This window comes from Homo sapiens, chromosome 4 (assembly GCF_000001405.40).
Source record: "Homo sapiens chromosome 4, GRCh38.p14 Primary Assembly".
Lineage (NCBI taxonomy): Eukaryota > Metazoa > Chordata > Mammalia > Primates > Hominidae > Homo > Homo sapiens.
In genome coordinates, this window is record NC_000004.12 from 28,610,756 (window position 1) to 28,630,376 (window position 19,621).

Here is a 19,621-nt window from a genome sequence, read left to right on the forward strand (position 1 = left end):
AGTATGTTCATCTTTCTCAAATGAAAAATTATCCACATATAGAACAGGTATTTACAATCATAAAGCAAAAAATTAGTTATTATATTTTAATTATTATACCAGGTCCTATAGGTAGCATCCACTGATGTAGCATCATTGAATACTACTTTATATAAGACCTGGCAAAATTACACATAGGAATTAGAATTTTAAAGTGAACAAAACAATTCCTTTTCTATAAAAGCTAAAAATGGCATTCAAATGTCATTAACATAAATTAACATATATGCAGAATATTGTAAGACCACCAAGGAGGACTCTACAAAGAAGAGGTAATTATTTTTATATGAATGGCAGCTTATTTTCATAATAATAATTAATCACATATAATCATTGGCTTCATGTGATGTCCATTTGTGAAATAACATGATAGAACATAAAATGTGTGCTAAGGGTAGATAATATTGGAAATCTAGAATAGTACTCAGTTGAGGAGAACCTTGAAGGTCAAACTAAGCCACTAGATTATTTTTACTTCCTTGGGGAACACAAAAAGTTTTGTTTACTCTTTCCAACTCTCCGGGAAATGGCCTGTGTAAAGAATGCTTAAGAAGTTTGATCTGAAAATACATCTAGAATAGTCCTAACTGGGCTGTTCTCAGGTACCTTACTTGGAGATTCCATATGATTTCAAAAGCATTTCAATGATGAAAAGTCTAAAAGAACACATCCCAAAGAATAGGCATGTTAGGAAATGACTCAGAATATCCTACAACTGATACTGAGAAAGATGTAGATCACAGGCTAGGCAAAATTTTCTGAGGGGTGTGTGGGCAACTATTATGTTTTGTTTTGTTTATTGTATGTGTGTGTGTGTATGTGTGTGTCTATATAGTTATTGGAGCACAAGCAAGGGCATACATACTCTGGGGGAAAAAAATCTTCCAAACTCCTTTTACAAGGCCAGCAGTACCCTCTTGCCATAACTAGGTAAGGATACTACAAGAAAATAAAATTATAGACCAATAGGCCTGATTAATGTAAATGCAAAAACTCAAAAAAAAAATCAAATTCGGCTTCACTTTAAAAGGATTATGCATCATGAACAAGTGAAATTTATCCCTTGGATGCAAGGATGTTCAACATGTGCAAATCAAAAAATGTGATACACCATGTTAACAGAATGAAAAATAAAAAACAAATGATAATCTTAACGCAGAAAAAGTATTTGGTAACATTTAATGTCTTTTCATAACAAAAAATTTCAACAAATTATGTACATAAACAATGTACCTCAACATAGTAAGTGCCATATACTACATATAATAAGCCTGTAACCAATGTCATATTCAATGTTAGAAATCTGAAAGCTTTTCGTCTATGATGAGAAACAAGATTAAGATGCTCACACTTTCTACTTCTGTTCAATAGAGTACTGGAAGTCCTACCCAGTCTAACTAGGCAAGAAGAAGAAATAAAAGTCTTCTGAATCAGATAAGAAGTAAAATTGACTCTGTTTGCAGGTGACATGATCTTATTTATAGAGAACCATAAAGACTATTGGAAAAAACTCTCAAAGGTAATAAAAAAATTAATTAAAATTGCATAATACAAAGTCTACATTAAAAAAATTAGTTGCATTTCCATACTGTAACAAACTATTCAAAAGAGAAATTAAGAAAACAATCTCTTACAATAGCATTAAAAATAATAAAATGCTTAAGAATAAATGGAAGCAAAAAGATCTGTACACTGAAAACAAGAAATATATGGAAAAAAATGAAAAAGACTGAAATAAATAAAAAAATCATATGTTCATGTACAGGAATAATTAATACTGTTGAAATGCTCATAATACCAAAGTGATCACGTTGTCAAGAAAACTATTCTACCATTAGTAATGTGTATAAACAACTGTAAGAACATAGAACATTTTTATTTTATAAAATTACTGATTTAAATGAACCATTTATATATCTTGTAACTTTGAATTCTAAAATTCTAGAGTATTATGCCTAAATTATATCTTAAAATTCATTTTGGTGAAATGGTGTTTGAAAATAAATGTATATCTAAGCTAGAATGAGTGGTATTTTGTCATATTTCCAGATATAGTTTACCTGCCATAGTAGATTCATGGTGTTATTTCCATTTCATGTAAAATTACTTTCATTGGGGATCTATGGACACATTCTCACTGACTTGTTACTGAAAAAGATCAGAGAACCATCTACAGATATGCACTATTCCAAGAATGTACATTCTTCTCTTTTGTTGTTTGTATTTGAATTGGAACTCTGACCAATGTACAAAATATGAATTAAAGATGGAATCATTAGAAAAGAGAATGAGATAAAAAGAGACAACAAAAGGAATATAAGTTTGCATGACCTTCAACTTAGAGTACACAATATAGTTTGCAAAAGAGATTAATACGTTGTCTCGTGATGTTATTGGAGTTACTGACTTGCCTGTACTGTATAATCTTCATGATAATCAAATTACAAAATTTTACCAGCAATCTCTTCAGGAAACTTTAAGAAAAGAGGGAGTTTTAGCATACATATGTCTGAGGTCAAACAGTTCCATTTGAATTTTGAGGAAAACAATACGAATGCAATGATTGTCTTATCTTAGGTAACACTATTTTGAAAGATGGTTTACATTACATATTTTTGATAAGCTATCATAAAAATTCCACCGAGTTTTCATGTCTGACAAACACACGTAAATGTCATAGAAGAAACCGGTTGTTATTAATTTGCCCTCTTGTGAAATGATGCCTATAAATTTAATATCAGATAAAAACATTTAGTGAGATTATTATTAGCTTTGAGAAGTCTAGTGCCCTACAGACTCCCCACAGTGAGTTATCATCTATGTGTTAAGTCAGCTTTACCATAGAGAATGCTAAACATATAAATTAGTACTTAGTATGAAGGACAATGTTTGATTAAAATTATAGTGTGAAAATCAGTTCTATTTTAAAAAATTAAATAAAATTATACTTAATATATCCTTAAAATAGAAACTCATGATTTGCTTTAGTTTGAAAACAATTATAATAAAGTCTGTCATTTACTGCTTTTTTGAGTGCCACAAATATTCATTCATTCAAAAAATAATTGAGTACTGGTTGGATGCCAATACAGCACTAAACATTTTGTAAAACAGTCTCCAATTTAGAGGAGATTACATTCTAGTGTGAGAAAAGAGGTAATAAATACATACATACTTAGGTATGGAATATGTCAGTCTGTTATAAGTTTCATGTAGAAGAATAACAGGGTAAAGGGAAAGAGGCCAATATTAGGAGGAATGGTATTTTATATAGTGTAGTCATACAATTTTTTTCTGATGAGATGTCATTTTAGCAAATACACAGAAGAAAAAAAAGTGCCAGTTCTGCAGATATCTGGGGAAGATTTTTCAGGAAAAAAAATTCTGAGGTATGGGGCATTTAGCATGTTCAGCAATGGCAATAAAGTCAACAGCTGAAATTAAGTGAGTTAGGGGAAGATTAATGCGGAGTAGTTGAGACAGGTAACAATGATGCCAAAATACCAATGGTCTTATAAACCAGAGAAAATGTCTTTCTTTAGTACACAGATGTTGGATTCTGGATACGTTTATAACTTTAAAGATTGTATGTGGATAATGAGGTTTAAAATAGATTATTTAAGGGTGATTCTGAGGTTTTTTGTTTGAAGCAACTGGTGGCATGTAATTGCCATATAGTAAAGTGAGGAGAATTATAGGAAAACTAATTAGGAAAGTTACTGAGTTCAGCTTTTTTATTTTCCAAAGAAGCTGCACAATTTTACATTCCTACCAGCACTGTATGAGGGTTCCAGTTTCTCTAGATTGTCACCAACAATTGTTACTATCTGCCTTTTAAAAAAACTTTTAGGTTCAGGGATACATGTATAGTTTTGAAATACAGCTAAATTGTGTGTCACAGGGATTTGATGTACAGATTATTTCATCACCCAGGTAACGAGTATAGGACCCAATAGGTAGTTTCTCAATCCTTTCCCTCCACCCACCCTCCACCCTCAAGCTGGCCCAGTGTCTGCTGTTCCCTTCTTTGTGTCCATGTGAGCTCAATGTTTAGTTCCCATTTATAAGTGAGAATGTGTGGTATTTGGTTATCTGTTCCTATATTAGTTCACTCAGGGCAATCGCCTGAAGTTTTAGCCATGTTGCTGCAAAGAACATGATCTCATGCCTTTTTTTATGACTGCATAGTATTCCATGGTGTATATATACCACATTTTCTTTAACCAATCCACCTTTGATGGGCATTTAGGTTTATTCCAGGTCTTTGCTATTGTGAATAGTGCTGTGATAAATATGTGAGCATGTGTCTTTGTGGTAGAATGATTTATATTCCTTTGGGTATATACCCAATAATGGGATGACTGGGTCTAATGGTAATTCTGTTTTAAGTTCTTTGAGAAATCACCACACCACTTTCCACAATGCCTGAACTAACTTACATTCCCACCAGCAGTGTATAAGCATTCTCTTTTCTCTGCAACCTCGCCAGCATTTGTTATTTTTTGAATTTTTAGTAATAGCCATTTTGACTAGTGTGAGATGGTTCTCACTGTGGTTTTGATTTGCATTCCTCTAATGATTAGTAATATTGAGTATGTTTTCATATGCTGCTTGACAGCATTTATATCTTCTTTTGAAAATTGTCATGTTCTTTGCCCAGTTTTAAATGAGGTTGTTTGGTTTTTTTGCTTGTTAATTTGTTTAAGTTCTTTATAGATTCTGGATATTAGATCTCTGTCGGGTGCATAGCTTGCAAATATTTTATCCTATTCTGTAAGTTGGTTGTTTACTTGATAGTTTCTTTTGCTGTGCGGAAGCTCTTCAGTTTAATTAAGTCCCAACTGCCAGTTTTTGTTTTGTTGCAATCACTTTTAATGTTTTTGTCATGGAGTCTTTGCCAGGGCCTATATCCAGAATGGTATTTCCTAGGTGACCTTCCAGGGTTTCTACAGTTTTAGGTTTTATATTTTGAGTTAATTTTTTGTGTATGGTATAAGAAAGGAGTCCAGTCTGAATCTTCTGCATATGTCTAGCCAGTTATCCCAGCACCATTTCTTGAATGAGGATTCCTTTCCCCATTTCTGGTTTTTGTCAGTTTTGTCAAAGATCAGATGGATGTAGTTGTGTGACATTATTTGGGGGCTCTCTATTCTGTTTTATTGATCTTTGTGTACCACTTTTTGTGTACCACTGCCATGCTGTTTTGGTTACTGTATCCTTGTAGTATAGTCAAAGTCAGCTGATGTTAAGCCTCCAGTTTTGTTTATTTCACTTAAAATTCCCTTTGCTATTTGGGCTCTTTTTTGATTCCATATGAATTTTAAAATAGTCTTTTTCTAATTCTGTGAAGAATGACATTGTTGTTTGAGAGAAATAGCATTGAATCTATAAATTGCTTTGTGAAGTATGGCCATTTTAACAATATTGCGTCTTCTTATCCATGCACATAAAATATTTTTCCATTCGTTTGTGTCATTTCTGATTTATTTGAGCAATGTTTTGTAATTCTCATAGTAAAGATCTTTTACCTTTCTGGTTAGCTGTATTACTAGGTATTTTATTATTTTTGTGGCTATTGTGAATAGGATTGTGTTCTTGATTTGGCTCTCAGCTAGGATGTTGTTGGTTTATAGAAGTGATATTTATTTTTTTACATTGATTTTGATTCCTGAAACTTTGCTGAAATTTCTATCAGATCTATGAGTTTTGGGTCAGACACTGTGGGGTTTTCTAGGCACAGAATTATATCATCTGCAAACAGAAATAGTTGGACTTCCTCTCCTCTTGTTTGGATGCCTTTTATTTCTTTCTCTTACCTGTTTTCTCTAGTGAGAACTTCCAGTATTGTGAGCCTTCATTTCTTTCTGGTCTATAGAATTTATTATAAGTCATCTCCAGTAGGTCTATAGACAATTTCTCTCACACTAAATTCCACATATACTCATCTAGGAAACATTACCATAACATACTGTCTTCAAAGCCATAATGTTAATCTTGACTCCAGTAGTCTGGGATGGTTAGAAACATTGATCGTTCAAGATATGTATGTTGTAAGTCATGGACATCAGAAAGTTGATAAGTCTCAGCAGAAGAGAGAAACCAAAACCTTGCCTCCTGGTGTGTTATATTAGAGGAGAAATTGTTTCTGTGGCAGATATAATCTTGGGTCAAAATGTACTTCTTAGAAATGATTGAGATATATCACATTGCTCTCTGTGGAGTTCCTTTGCTAAATGAGGGCAATGAAATCTTCCAAGTTCTCAGCAGCCAGACAGATGTTTGTCTTTTCTAGATTACCCTAGCTGCCAATGAATGCCAAAAGCGCTGGTTAAAAAGACACTTTACTGAAAATACCTTTCATTAGATTTGTGGAAGTATCTAAATTTTTTGATCTCTCAGTTATTTTGGAAACTGAATCTTTACCTCTGACTACAGTGCCAATTGAAAAGAAGAGTCTGGAAAAAATAATTTTAGGAGAAAAATTTGTTACAAGGATTAAAATATGAATATGTTTCAGAAGGTACCTGATAAGTCCATGGAATATGCATATATTCTGGTTCACAAAGAAAAAATTGCAGAAGGAGGTACATCCATTATTTCAGAGATCGTTGTAAATAAGAACGCCCAAATGACTGTTTAAGTACATGTACTGTCCATATTGTCAATAATTTTAAACTAAAATATGCAAATTTTTCACACTTTAGGCTATAATTAAATGTTTCAAGTACTAAATGGAAAGGCAATAGAGGTAAACATCAAGACAACTTAAGACATTATTCATTTATGTGGGGCCTCATAGTTTATAATACGTGTGTTCATATTTTGTATCATATAAGTTTTATAAATGATAGATTAACCCCAATTTGAGATTCAGGGAGGGTAAGCAAGTTTCAGTTTTCAGAAAGTAATAAATAATAGGTACAAGATGCTGAATTTGGTCCTAGCATAGAAAAACTCCAAATCTTACATTGATTCAAGTACTGCAAAATTCTTTCCAAATGGAGAACTATGTTGATTGACCACATTTAGCATGTCAAATTTCCCTGTCCTGTCAAGACACACCATAATGTTTTGGTCATTCCTTACTCCCATGAATTTGCATGTGATTTATAGAGGTTGAAATACTATAAATTTGATAAGCTTTATCTTCTATGTTACACAGTGTCTTAGCTCAATGTCTGTTGCTATAACAGAAATCCTGGGATTGGGTAATTTATAATAAACAGACATTCATTGAGCTCAGAGTCCCGGAGCAAGGTAGTTCAAGAGCATGGTGCTGGGTGAAGGAGGGCTTTCTTGTTCTGTCATAACGTGGAGAAAGGGCAAGTGAGTGTGCAAGCCAGAAAGGGTGAACTTGCTCTTATAACAAATCCAATCTTGTGATAGCTAATCCACTCCAAAAATAACAACACTAATCTATTCTTGAGGGCTCCAGCCTCATGACCCAATCATTTGTTATTAGGCCCCACCTCCGAACCTTCTTACATTGGAGATTGTTTCCCACACTTGAAGTTTTGGGGGCCAAATTCAAATAATAGCAGAAAGGCATCCAGTTTCTCCAAGATTTGAGTCATAATGAGATAAAATTTGTAATGTATTTTTCAATTAATCATAAAAAGAATATAATAATGCATGATGTTTTCTTTGAATAAACTATTCGTATATACCTCAAAAATGTCGAGGTCTTCCTCAAAAGGGAGCTTGCTATTACAGTCTATCTAGACTTGAATGAGACAAAAGAAAAGCAAAATGGGTCCTCCTTTGTGGAAAGACAAGGCAAAAGAAGAAGAGAGTTGATTGCATAATGAAAAGGTAGTATCAGAGTTTTTTAATATAACTGACAAAATCTGAATGCCTGCCTAGATTTGAGTAGGTTGAATAGTATTTTTGCCTAGCAGGAGCACTTTATGTTCAAGCATAACTTTTCTTAAAATTTGAGGAAAGATAAAAAATATATTCATAATTGAATATTTGTGGCAATGATTCTTAAATATATACATAGTGTTAACTTTTCTGTAAACTTATCTAAAATATGATGTTAAATTTCTTGAACTTGTGCTACTTAGGGACATACAAAGATTAGCTTCTTCTTTCTCTATGACACCAATACAATTTATGACTGTCTTGAAATTTACGTTGCCCATCTGCATTGGTTACCAACAGTCTTCTAGACAGGTTTATCTAAACTGTTCCAATCCCACTTGCAATTTTTCATTTTGAATATTTTCAACCAAACCACTTAAAATTCAAAAAAATCATACTGTCAAAATAATAATAATCAGCATGTTTGCTAAGCCCTTGTCTATGCTGATTCCAAACAGGATCATCTTATAATACAAAATATTCTTTACTTCAGGAGGCACATGACTGATGCCTGATCCAATGTCAGTGAGTTCTCCTGGTCCAGGGGTAAGCACATGAATTTCCAACTTTCTTGTCTTGAGAAAGCCAGAAAAGAATAGCCTGGGCATAACCTGAAGAAATTTGAGAAATTTCTCTCCCAGCTTCTACCTGGCTCCAGCTTTCAAGCCAAAATCAGCTCCTGACTGTTCCATCTCACTGCTAAACTATTATATAAGGAGTGGAGGTTCTGGGACAATTACATTGCATCCTTATAAGACTAAGTCAGAGGAACATATGTCTAATTAGAGTCTATCTTAGTGCTGGCTGCTATAACAAACTACATTGGACTGGATAATTTATAAACGACAGAAATTTATTGCTCACAGTTTTGCAGCCTGGGAAATTCAAGACCAGCAGATCGTCTGGTGAGAGCCTGACCCCCATAGATGATGTTTTTGTGTCCTCACATGACAGAAGGGGTAAACAATCTCCCTTGGGCTTCTTTAAGGAGGACATTAATCTCATTCACAAGGGTGGACCTCTTATGACCTAATTATCCCCCAAAGGCCTAAATCTCAATATTACCACATTGGGAATAGGGTTTCCACATAAGAATTTTGTGGAGACACAAACATTCAGACCATAGCATTTCATCTAAGTTCAATTTTTATTTTACTGCTTGAGACAAAAGGTACCTAACACAAGAAAGAAAAGGATTTAATCTGTATAGAGTTATCATTGAATCTTTTAAATTTTTTACTTTCAAACATAAGATACTTAATAGCTGACTCCAAATATACTATTAATTTTATTTACTTTTGACTAAGTGATAGTAAACACAATAACATTTGCAAAATTGCCAGTAAACAGATGCTAGTTGAATTTTTTTTCTATCTTATCTTCTCAAGTTGAAGTAAATTAAGATATCATATAGAGCAGTGCTTTTTAATCTAATTGAAGTAGAAGACTTTTTTTATTTATTTGTTTTCTTCTTTAATTCCCAATTGATCATAGACTAGGCCATTTTTTTTTTTTTTTTTTTTTTGTAGAGTACAGAGAGAGAGAGAGATAATGTGCATGTGCTTGGATTTTACACTGAAATCATTCTAGAAATTTCTAAATGCTTCCTCTCAAATTTTGTACTAATTGTATGACAGGCTAGTAGCAGTTTGTTGATTGATTGAAATTGTGTAATATTAGAAATAATGCCAGAGAATATTGTATTAAAAACTATTTGCTCTAAAGCTTTTCCCTCCAATAGCTCTATGACACCTTGGAATTCTCTAGTGAAGGCCTGAGTCTTATTCGTTGTATCCATAACTTAAACTGAAAACTGCCTGAGACATAGTAAGTTACTAAAAACTATTAGTAGCTTGAATATATAAATTAAATAATCAAAGTAGTTTCAAAATGCTCAAGAATCCTGAACTTCCCTGCCTTGGGAGAACCAGTTACTATGGTATTATAAAAATGACAACAACAACAAAAGTGAATATATTTAATTACTTACCTCAAATTCTATATACCTCAGGAATACTTGGAATTGAATTAAAATAACTTTCGGCCCTTAAAGGCCATTTGTAGATGAAGTGGGTTAACCTAGACTGTGAAAATGGAAGGGCCTTAGGATAATCAAGCCTGTGTTAATTCCAGTGGCAGACCCTCTTGTGGCACATTCTAGCCTGAACTTTCACAGGACACTTCCTTTTCTTTCAAATGGGCACACTGATACTTACCTTGTGTATTAGCCTGCTAGGGCTGCCATATTGGAGCAACACATTTTTTTTTTCCTCTGACCATGTGCAATCGTGTTTGTCTCTCCCATCTCATAAGCATACAAATCTTATTGGATTAAGACCTTATCTTAAAAATCTAATTTAACGTTAGTTACCTTCATAAAGGCCTTGTCACTAAATACAGTCAAATTGCAGATTACAGCTTCAATTTATGAATTTTGGAGAAGGCTTTCAATATAGTTCACAACAGTTTGGTAAATTGTTGTGAAAAGTTAGAGATAATCCATAAGAAGCATGTTTCATAGTATTCACTCCATATTGACCTGTCATTAAGTTATTACCATTACTAATGAAATGTATTGTTACACTAGGTATTGGTTGTTAACCAATGCAAAGTGATGCATTATGTATTTGCAAACTTCCTTAAAAACAAATACAATTAAATGAGAGTTTTAATAAAGTAGAAAAATGTAAGTTTTTTCAAAAAGGAGTAATATCCATGTTTACTCTAAGGCTACATGAGAGTTGAGTACATGAGAAAAGAACATTAATGATACTAATGATAACAGCAATGGTTTAAATTGGCAGATTTTAAAGGATAAAGTGATGGTCTAGGTTATCTGATCTCACAGTTAATGACATTGACATCTTAACCTTGCCTTAACACAGTAGCAAGTATCCAAACTCGCTGAAGATTTAATTTTTACCAAGTCTTTTTTTTTTTTTTTTTTTTTCAGAAACCATCATGATTACTAATTGACAATCATATTTTAATCATGTCTTCATAGTGGTTTTCTTATGCAGCATGAATAATTTCATACCATCTGTATTACTCGACTTTCATAACAAACCTCTGCCAAAGAATTGAAAACTAAATGTGCGAATCTATTCACTGCACTGAGCTCATGCATAAACTACAAGAGAATGTTTGAGAAGTTATCTATGTATTTGCGTAGGCTTTACATTTTTTCTTTCATTCTTTCTTGAGGCTTTTTACTCTGTCACTTTCCCCACCAACCACCAACATGGCAAGTAGCTGCCTGGGCTCCTAGCTGGTTCCATCTGTGGACCCTCTGTTTCAAATTATTTTTGACTTATGAGTGGAAGGAAAACTTAATGGTTTGCTCCATCCTCTGCCCTGGAATAAATTTTTGTGCTTTGGGAAACTTTGCACCACTCTGGCAATTTTCTGTTTCTTCACTCAATATAGGATTCTAATTGCGAAGGCCAAAAGCTAACACCAAGTATCCTAGCAGAGTGGTGAGTGAGTAGTGAAAAAATTACTTACCGATATATATAGTAGTTACTATTCAGGGCTATATTAATTCTTTCCTATTTTGAGTACTAAATTGACATAGCTTTCAGATGACAGCTGTGATTGTCTCAAAATGTGTTCGTTATTACATTTTGAAATGATAAATCTCCCTCTTTCCTGAGGTAGAACGTGCTTCCAGTGCATCTGTAGTGTTCTCAAAAAGCAGGAAGACAATGCTCAGAGTGAATGAACAGTGTTTATAGATCTAAAACTCCTTTGAGCTGTAAAGTACAAAGGATAGATATTATGATCTAGTGATAAAAGGATCAAGTCCAGGGTTTCACCCAGAGGATTTGGGGCATAGAACTTATAGAAACATAAACCAAAGGACGCAGCCAAACAATGTTAGGAGGAGTTAGCTAAGTACAGAAAATTCCCTTATGCAGAATGTCTTCTGCTGATTTTGTCCCCTAACTTTGCAGTTATAGTCTCTCCCTACCCACTCCCTATGCAATAAAAAACCCTTTCCCCCATAGCGATTTTATTCAAAGTGATTCAAAGTGTTTAGCATCAAGCAGATACAGCTAAATATTTCCCTGACTACCTGGGTGACTTTGGGCAAGTTTTGTTTCTTTTCAGAGTTCAAGTGTTCCTAACTTGTACAATAGTGATGATGATAGGATTTCTCTTCTATCATGGTAATGGGATCAAATGGGTTATTATATGGAAAGTGTTTACAAGTTTCTTAGCACATAGTAGGTACCAAATAGTGTCCATAAATACCTGCTATTTTCATGTGGAGAGAAACACATAACTATTTTTTTAAGACTTTAGCCTTTCTTTTGTCACCTGGATCTAAGCTATCTTGGTCCAATGGCTTTATTTTTCACCAGCGGGTCACTGCATATTCCTTTTGCCACAGAGTGTACAATTGCTATGAGCACTGGTTCATGACTTCCCTGGGTAGTTGGAATCAAGCTTCAAGATGAGTGTATCTAATAGATAACAGTAACTTTCATTGCAACAGTCTCTCACTTATATAAGCTCAGATAAATGTCACTAGCACCTATTCCAAGTTCCCATAAAAAGGGGAAGCGGCAATAGTAGGCTCTCCTGGTGAACATTCTCAAGTGGATCCAGCTATACCTGACCCCTGCATGTCTCCCCATAGACAATAGAACCTATCATGCCACAGGCAGCAACAAACTTTCTGCCTGAGATCACAAATGTGTTTCCTGTTTCTTCAAGACCTTTGTTTGACTCATTATGATCATCATCATTATCGTCTTTACCATCACCATTATCATCATTAGCAGCAGCAGTAGCAGCAGCAAAACCACCATCACCATTGGTACACTGTAAAAAATGTCCTATGCATTGTGAAAAGAATGGAAATATGTGACACTTTGTCTTTATCTTCTAGGTGCTTATATATTAGGTGATAATAACATCATAGTAATAAGCCTTAACACGCATGACACTGGTTCAAACCAGCTCGTGGTCCTCCATCTCCAATATGTAACTGCCTATTGAAACAGTCTACTTGGCTGCCCAACAGGCAATGCAGAGCATATAAAGACAAAACTGAACACTTAGCCCTTTTCCATCTCTCATTCCTGGTATCTTCTAGTTTCCTATGTTAGTAAACAGCATCCCTCTGCAATTGAGTGCCCATATTCAGAATTATGGACAATCCTTAATTCCTCTATTGTTATAATATACATTGACTATATCAGGAAGTGCTATTAGCTCCAACCACAAAGTATATTTTGCGTTTTTTTTAATTCCCTCCATCTCTACTACGATTACCCTAGCCTAAGTCAACATCATCTCCTGGTCTGACTCCCTGCTTCCATCCTTCACTTACGACATTCCATTCATTATCTACTATGAGATAATAATACTTTTTTAAGAAGCCGTTATAATTAAAACATAATAAATTGCCATTACACTTAAAATAAAATCAAAATTTCTGATTTTCATTGTAAGATCTCATGACCTGGCTCTTCTTACCATATTAAATCTATGTTTTAGGGGCTTCATCTTTACTTAAAAAGTCTGGCCAGACTGGCTTCCTTTCTGTCTCTGAATTGTAGAAAGCTCATTCTCAACTCAGAGACTTTACACTTGCTATTCCCTTTGTCTGAATGCTTTCATCTCCTTACCACCTATCAGGGTCTTTCTCTTTCTGCAGTTGTGAGCTCAGATATTACCTTAACAGGAGATCTCCAAATTCCACCTTCCTGGTTAAAGCTGCTCTCCACTATCTACCACATCGGTCATTAAAATTTGTAATTTTCTCTTCTCATATTCATTTACTCTTTTTTTTTTTTTTTTTTTTTTTTGAGACAGAGTCTTGCTCTGTCACCCAGGCTGGAGTGCAATGACTTGATCTAGGCTCACTGCAACCTCTGCCTTCCAGGTTCAAGTGATTCTCCTGCCTCAGCCTCCCGAGTAGCTGGGATTACAGGTATGCACCACCACACCTGGCTAATTTTTGTATTTTTAGTAGAGCCGGGCTTTTGCTATGTTGACAAGGCTGATCTCAAACTCCTCACCTCAGGTGATCCATCCACCTCATTTATTCTTTATGGCAGTTCTCCTCACTAGATTGTAGGCTCCATGGAGAAAGGGACTTTGTCTGTATTATTCATGGTTATATGTCCATTCTTAATATAGATAGTGCTCAGGAGACAGAAAGAAAAAGAGAAGCCAAATGATGCTAATATAGGGGATTTGTCCCTCATCAATGAACATATATGTTCTTAGGACTTACATAGTGATACGATTTCCATATTAGACAAAATCTACTTCTTTATATAAATACACTATTTTTTAAAAATACCCAGGGATTAGTATATTTCCTTTGACATCAGCATTTATTTTATTTCTACAGTACATTATCCACCTGAATTGAAGAAGCAGAACCAGCCAGAAGAGGAAACACTGTAATAAAATTAAGATCTGGACTCTAATTCTGTTTTATTTTCTCAACGTATAAACCATGAGTAAATTGTTAATCTTAAAAGAAAATGTTTTTCTTCCATTGTTCCTTTGTAAAGTGGACATGATCACACCTGTGTTCAGAAGGAACTGATTCAGAGGTATGAGAATAAGACTCACAACTTATTTGTATCTTAGAAGCCCCATAAAGACAAGCCCATAGTTTGATGATTTGCAAAGAAAAGAAAAAGTGACTCCAAAACCAAAGGCAGGAAAAGTGACCTTTCTCAAGCCATTCTAGGCTACTGTACTAAGTGACTTTTTTCACAACATGAAAAGCTGCTTCCTCCTTATGCATAACAGCTTCGGAGGGTATGGCCTTTCCATACGAAGCTTCTTGCCTTGCAAATTAATCAATGGTCCATGTGGCAGAGCCTGTAGACAGAGAAGAGGGTTCCTAGGGAGCATCACAGCTGCCTGCCCTGAGAAATGTTGCCTGATACTGGGTGAAGAGCTGGTGATTAGAAGGAGTGTTTTGTAATTGGTGACCGCCATAGGCTAAGAACTACACCCAATACTCATTTTCTTGTGACACATATGTCACATATGTCATGTGGGGGAAGAAACAGCTTATTTTAGACTGATCCTGAATTTCTCACTAAACCTAGTGAATGAAACTGACATGATAAAATATAACATAAAAAATTAATCAATTAAGTTAATTAAATCATAAAATAGTGCTTTATTTGTGCTGGGCTGTCTTCTAAACATAGGAGGTTCAAGGGGATACAATGTTAAACAAAACACACACAGACCCTGTCCACATGGAATTTATTAGCTAATGGCAATTTCTCAAATCATTTTCATCCAGTAGCCAAAATCCCCCAAATCCTGAATTCATCATTATATATTTTCAAATCAATGATAAGCTTTTTAAACCTAATATTTTCAGTGATTACTTTGTTAATTTTTTCTCAAATAATTCAAATTTTTCACTTAGATTACAAGACTCTCCATTATCTATTCTTTCATTATACTCTTTATCTATTCTTTCATTATACTCTTTATTCTTTCATTATACTCTTTATTTCTAAAACCTTAACCATCACTTCAAAAAAACTGGCTTCCATCCACAGTATTTTCATCTTACTTGAGCAAGCAGTTCTGTGATACCTTTGGTTAATTTATCACCTTCCATAAATACTGAACTTATTTCAATCAGCCAGCAGTTATCAAAATCATCTACTGAAAACAATCCTTTATGGAAGATTCTCTGTGAGACCCAATCTCAATTTTTCAAATGTTTATGTTTATTTGTTGGCATTTAAAAAAGAATAAAAGGGCTCAAATTTCTGTGATAGATTGTTGTAGTAATGACCCCCAATTTATTCATGCTGCCCTCTAGCTATATCTTTAGGGAGAATCTTCCCACAGGGACTCTGGACTTCATAAGTAACTTTCTTTGGCCAGTGGGAGAGCAGCAAGAGTGATATAAGCATACATACGAAAAGAGATGTCTCTTTACTGTTTGCTTTACCTGGTAAACAAGATGTGGCTATTCTGCTGGGAAGTAAGAAGGCAGAAGCAGTAATATTCAGCACCCTCCTGCAGCTAACTCTCAGCTAGTCCCAGTTTACCTGGCAACCACTCACAAAGCCAAGATTGAGATCCAGCCAAGATCAGCTGAGCCTGGCTGAAATCAACAGAACTACCCTGCTGAGTACAGGGTGAGCTAAATAAATGGTTGTTTTCACAAACCACTAAATTTTGGGGTGATTTATTCTGTAACAAAAGCTAACCCATAAAGTATCCAAGAGTTTTAAGTGTGCAGGTAAGAGTCTATGATGCTGGTGATTCAAAATATTCTTCAGGAAATAAAATTACTACCAGGTAAACCATTTCTAGAAGCTTGAAGCTTCAAATATAATCTGATATAGTTCAGATTATGATAAAGTAAGATTTGAATATTTTATTGCATATATTATTTTTTATAAAACACATTCTGAAGAAAATTTTTACAAATTTAACCTTTTATGTCTTTGTAAAGTTTTATAGGTCAGATACAAAAGGCATTTAAAAATAGTTTTTCTCATAATTTTTCATAGTTTTAAAAAATACAAAGTCATTTTAAATAATGTTTAGTTTACAGTTTAGGGGATTTTTAAAATATTTCATATTAGATCTGTCCCATGACTCTGTATAAAGAAGGTTTTTTTGTCATTCAGAAGAGTCTTAAAAAAGCTTTGAAGTAAATTTTAGGGCAAATTCATTTCTTACATCTTCCATATAAATCTCAAAGAAACAATAGTTTTGTTTTAGTTTTATATTTTAGGCACTAAGAAAAATAATCTTTAAACAACTTCTGAAGTCTCAAAAATATCTTAATATATACAGGAAACTAAAAATAACTAGCTAATAAATGGTGACTGTTTTGTGTTTCAGACACTCTCTAATGAGTTTTTTAAGTATACACAAAGCATATAACATGTAAACAGATGTGCAATAAATGGCCATTTAGAACAAAATACTATATTGCAGCATATATTTAACGTAAAATCTTGTGTTTTTGCTTATTATCAAATGAATTTTATCAAATTATTTATTATTGATATTCAGTGATGCATAATTTCTTTCTTGAGTTTTGTTTTTTTAAAATTAATATATTTCAAAGAATATAAAGGAATACATTTTATTTAAAGAATAAATACATTCCTGTAAACCCAGCACTTTGGGAGGCTGAGGCGGGTGGATTATGAGGTGAGGAGTTTGAGAACAGCCTGGCCAATATGGTGAAACCTCGTCTCTACTAAAAAAAAAAAATACAAAAAGTAGTCGGGAGTGGTGGTGCACCTGTAGTCCCAGCTACTTGGGAGACTAAGGCAGGAGAATCGCATGAACCCGGGAGGTGGAGGTTGCAGTGAGTCGAGATTGTGCCACCACACTTATAAATAAATAAATAAATAGAATAAATAAATAAATAAAATAAATACATTCTAAAACACTGCCAAATCAATGTTTTAATTCACTAGACCTAAGTGTCATTGAAAATTTTTGGCTGTCTGACATAATTTTTTAAATCTACATGAGTTTTCATGGGACTATATTATGAAAATCGTGTTTTTAAGCAATTGTTTTCCTTTTACTATATTGCTTTCCTTAAAACTTTTCTTAAAACTTGTTTTCAGTCAACAAATACTCTTTACAGATTTTGCATGAAAATAGTTTGATTGCATAACACTGAAACGCAGGGTTACACTAATAGCACTGGGTAAAGATAAATACCAGAACCAATCCCATAGTATTTTTAGGTGGTATATCTTCCTTTGGAAAGGTATCGAAGAGATTTTCTTAGAGAAACTCATATAGACTATGTTCTCATAGACTATAGTTATAAATGGATTTTGCGCATAATCTTTAAAAACTATTGCTACAAAGTTAAATGTAGAGATTGTTCATTAGATGGTTCGTAGGAAGAACTTAAAATTCATTTCTATCTTGTAAGAATTTTCAGTTTAGAATACATTGACTTTCAATTGAAAATAAAAGTAAGATTATATATATATCAAATAAGTGAACAAAATGGAAATACTAACATACTTATATTTAACATATCTTGACAGACTCTTCTTTACTTGGCCATAAAAGTCACAGCTAACAGTCAAATATTTATTCTGTGCCATACCCTGTGCTAAGCGCTTCATCTTTTTTATTTATCCAAGAAAATTAATTAACTTCATTCTATCTTTCTCATTTTATAGCTTGGTGCTGAAGGTAACAAAGCTATCTGTGTTTGATCAAGATTCAAACCCTCAATGTCTGAGAAAAGCATCATATTCTTTATCCAAGTGGACTTTGTATAGATGCAACAAAATATTCATTCAAATATTTTCTAAAGTGCCAGGTCGCTTGAAGTTTACTTATACTACTATAGATTTTAAGCTGCATTTCACTGTAGATAATGCAAAGACAATTAAAAGAACAGACAATAAGCAGATAAAGAGGCATTATTTTATTACTATGAAAGTTAATATGTCATTTGTCACTGAAATAGACATGTCTTTAATTTGCTTGGCAAAAGAGTGAGTATAAGGTCTGAATGTTTAATCTCCCTAAAGTGTTCATCACATTGCAACAGATTTAATCTATTCTCCATCCAGAAAGACCACCTACAAACAAAGCAATTACAATTTGTTGTTTTACAGATAATAAAATAATTAGGTATGCCAAGCATAGGAAAGTATGTAATTTTACTGCCGTTTGTAAAAGATGATTAGAAGGAATGCTCCACGGGCACTTCAGAATTAATTGAGAGGAACCAGGTACAGATTTGATTACTGGTAATGCTTTTTGGAAGAATCAGGAATTTAGAAGCTATTAATAATGATTGTAAAGATAAAGTTGGAGAAAGACGTGTTACAGATGGGAAAAAGTTATTGTTTTGCAGGGAAGAGTACAGAATCACCCTTTATGATGCTTTGAAATTCAGTCTATCTTTGGTTTGGTATAGAAATTTGCAGAAAATAGGTAACTAAAGATACATCATAAGCAGGTTAACAAATAATGATGAAACTGAAAAAACATTTATAATGCTAATATTATAACAACAACAATTATTAATATGGAGAAAACTACCAAAAGAGGCTGAAATATAAGGAGACATCTTTTTTGGCTTATTTTGTTTTTGTGTAATGACCTGAACAAATTCTCTTTGTAATTTAAGTAGAAATAAAAGCTTTAAAACCCTCTGAGGATATTTTAGTAGAATCCTTCAATGTCCTCCAAAATCCATTCTTTATAGGCAGTAACAGTATTAAAAAAAATCAGTTTTCTAGCTTGAAATACCTATGGTAATACTGTGGATTATTTTTAGTCAATTCTAACTGATGTTATTTTTGAGAACATAAAAGAAGTTTATTGTGTGATAAAATTGGAAACCACAAGATATGTATTATGTCAGAAAGTGATGGCAGATAAATGTCTGATAAGAATATCTATTATAAAGGGAGATGGAACTGAAATATAATAGACAAGAGCCATTTAAGAAAATAAATTACATCTTATTCAACATTTTTGTGGTCTACCTCTTTGCCTCAGATATTATATGCTCTATTTCTGTTCATAAAATGTTATTTAATGCAGTATAAAGGTTCTCATCTACCATTCTATATTTTTTTGCATCACAGCACAATATTATCTGAAGACTGCCTGCTGATAGGAGAGCATGTTCATTCAATTTTTTAAGCAATATTATTTTCTTTCGGAGATATGCATAAAGAAGACAAAGATTTAGAGTGTGATACATTAG

At 33.5% G+C, this 19,621-nt stretch overlaps 1 long non-coding RNA gene across 1 annotated transcript; it reads left to right on the forward strand.

The window, feature by feature from the left end:
- The first annotated feature begins 13,725 nt into the window (after nucleotides 1–13,725).
- Nucleotides 13,726–19,381, forward strand: LOC105374559 (uncharacterized). The gene is made up of 3 exons (XR_925530.3): nucleotides 13,726–13,843; nucleotides 14,270–14,477; nucleotides 18,075–19,381. It is a non-coding gene; the product is annotated as an uncharacterized LOC105374559 (long non-coding RNA).
- Nucleotides 19,382–19,621: the final 240 nt, after the last annotated feature.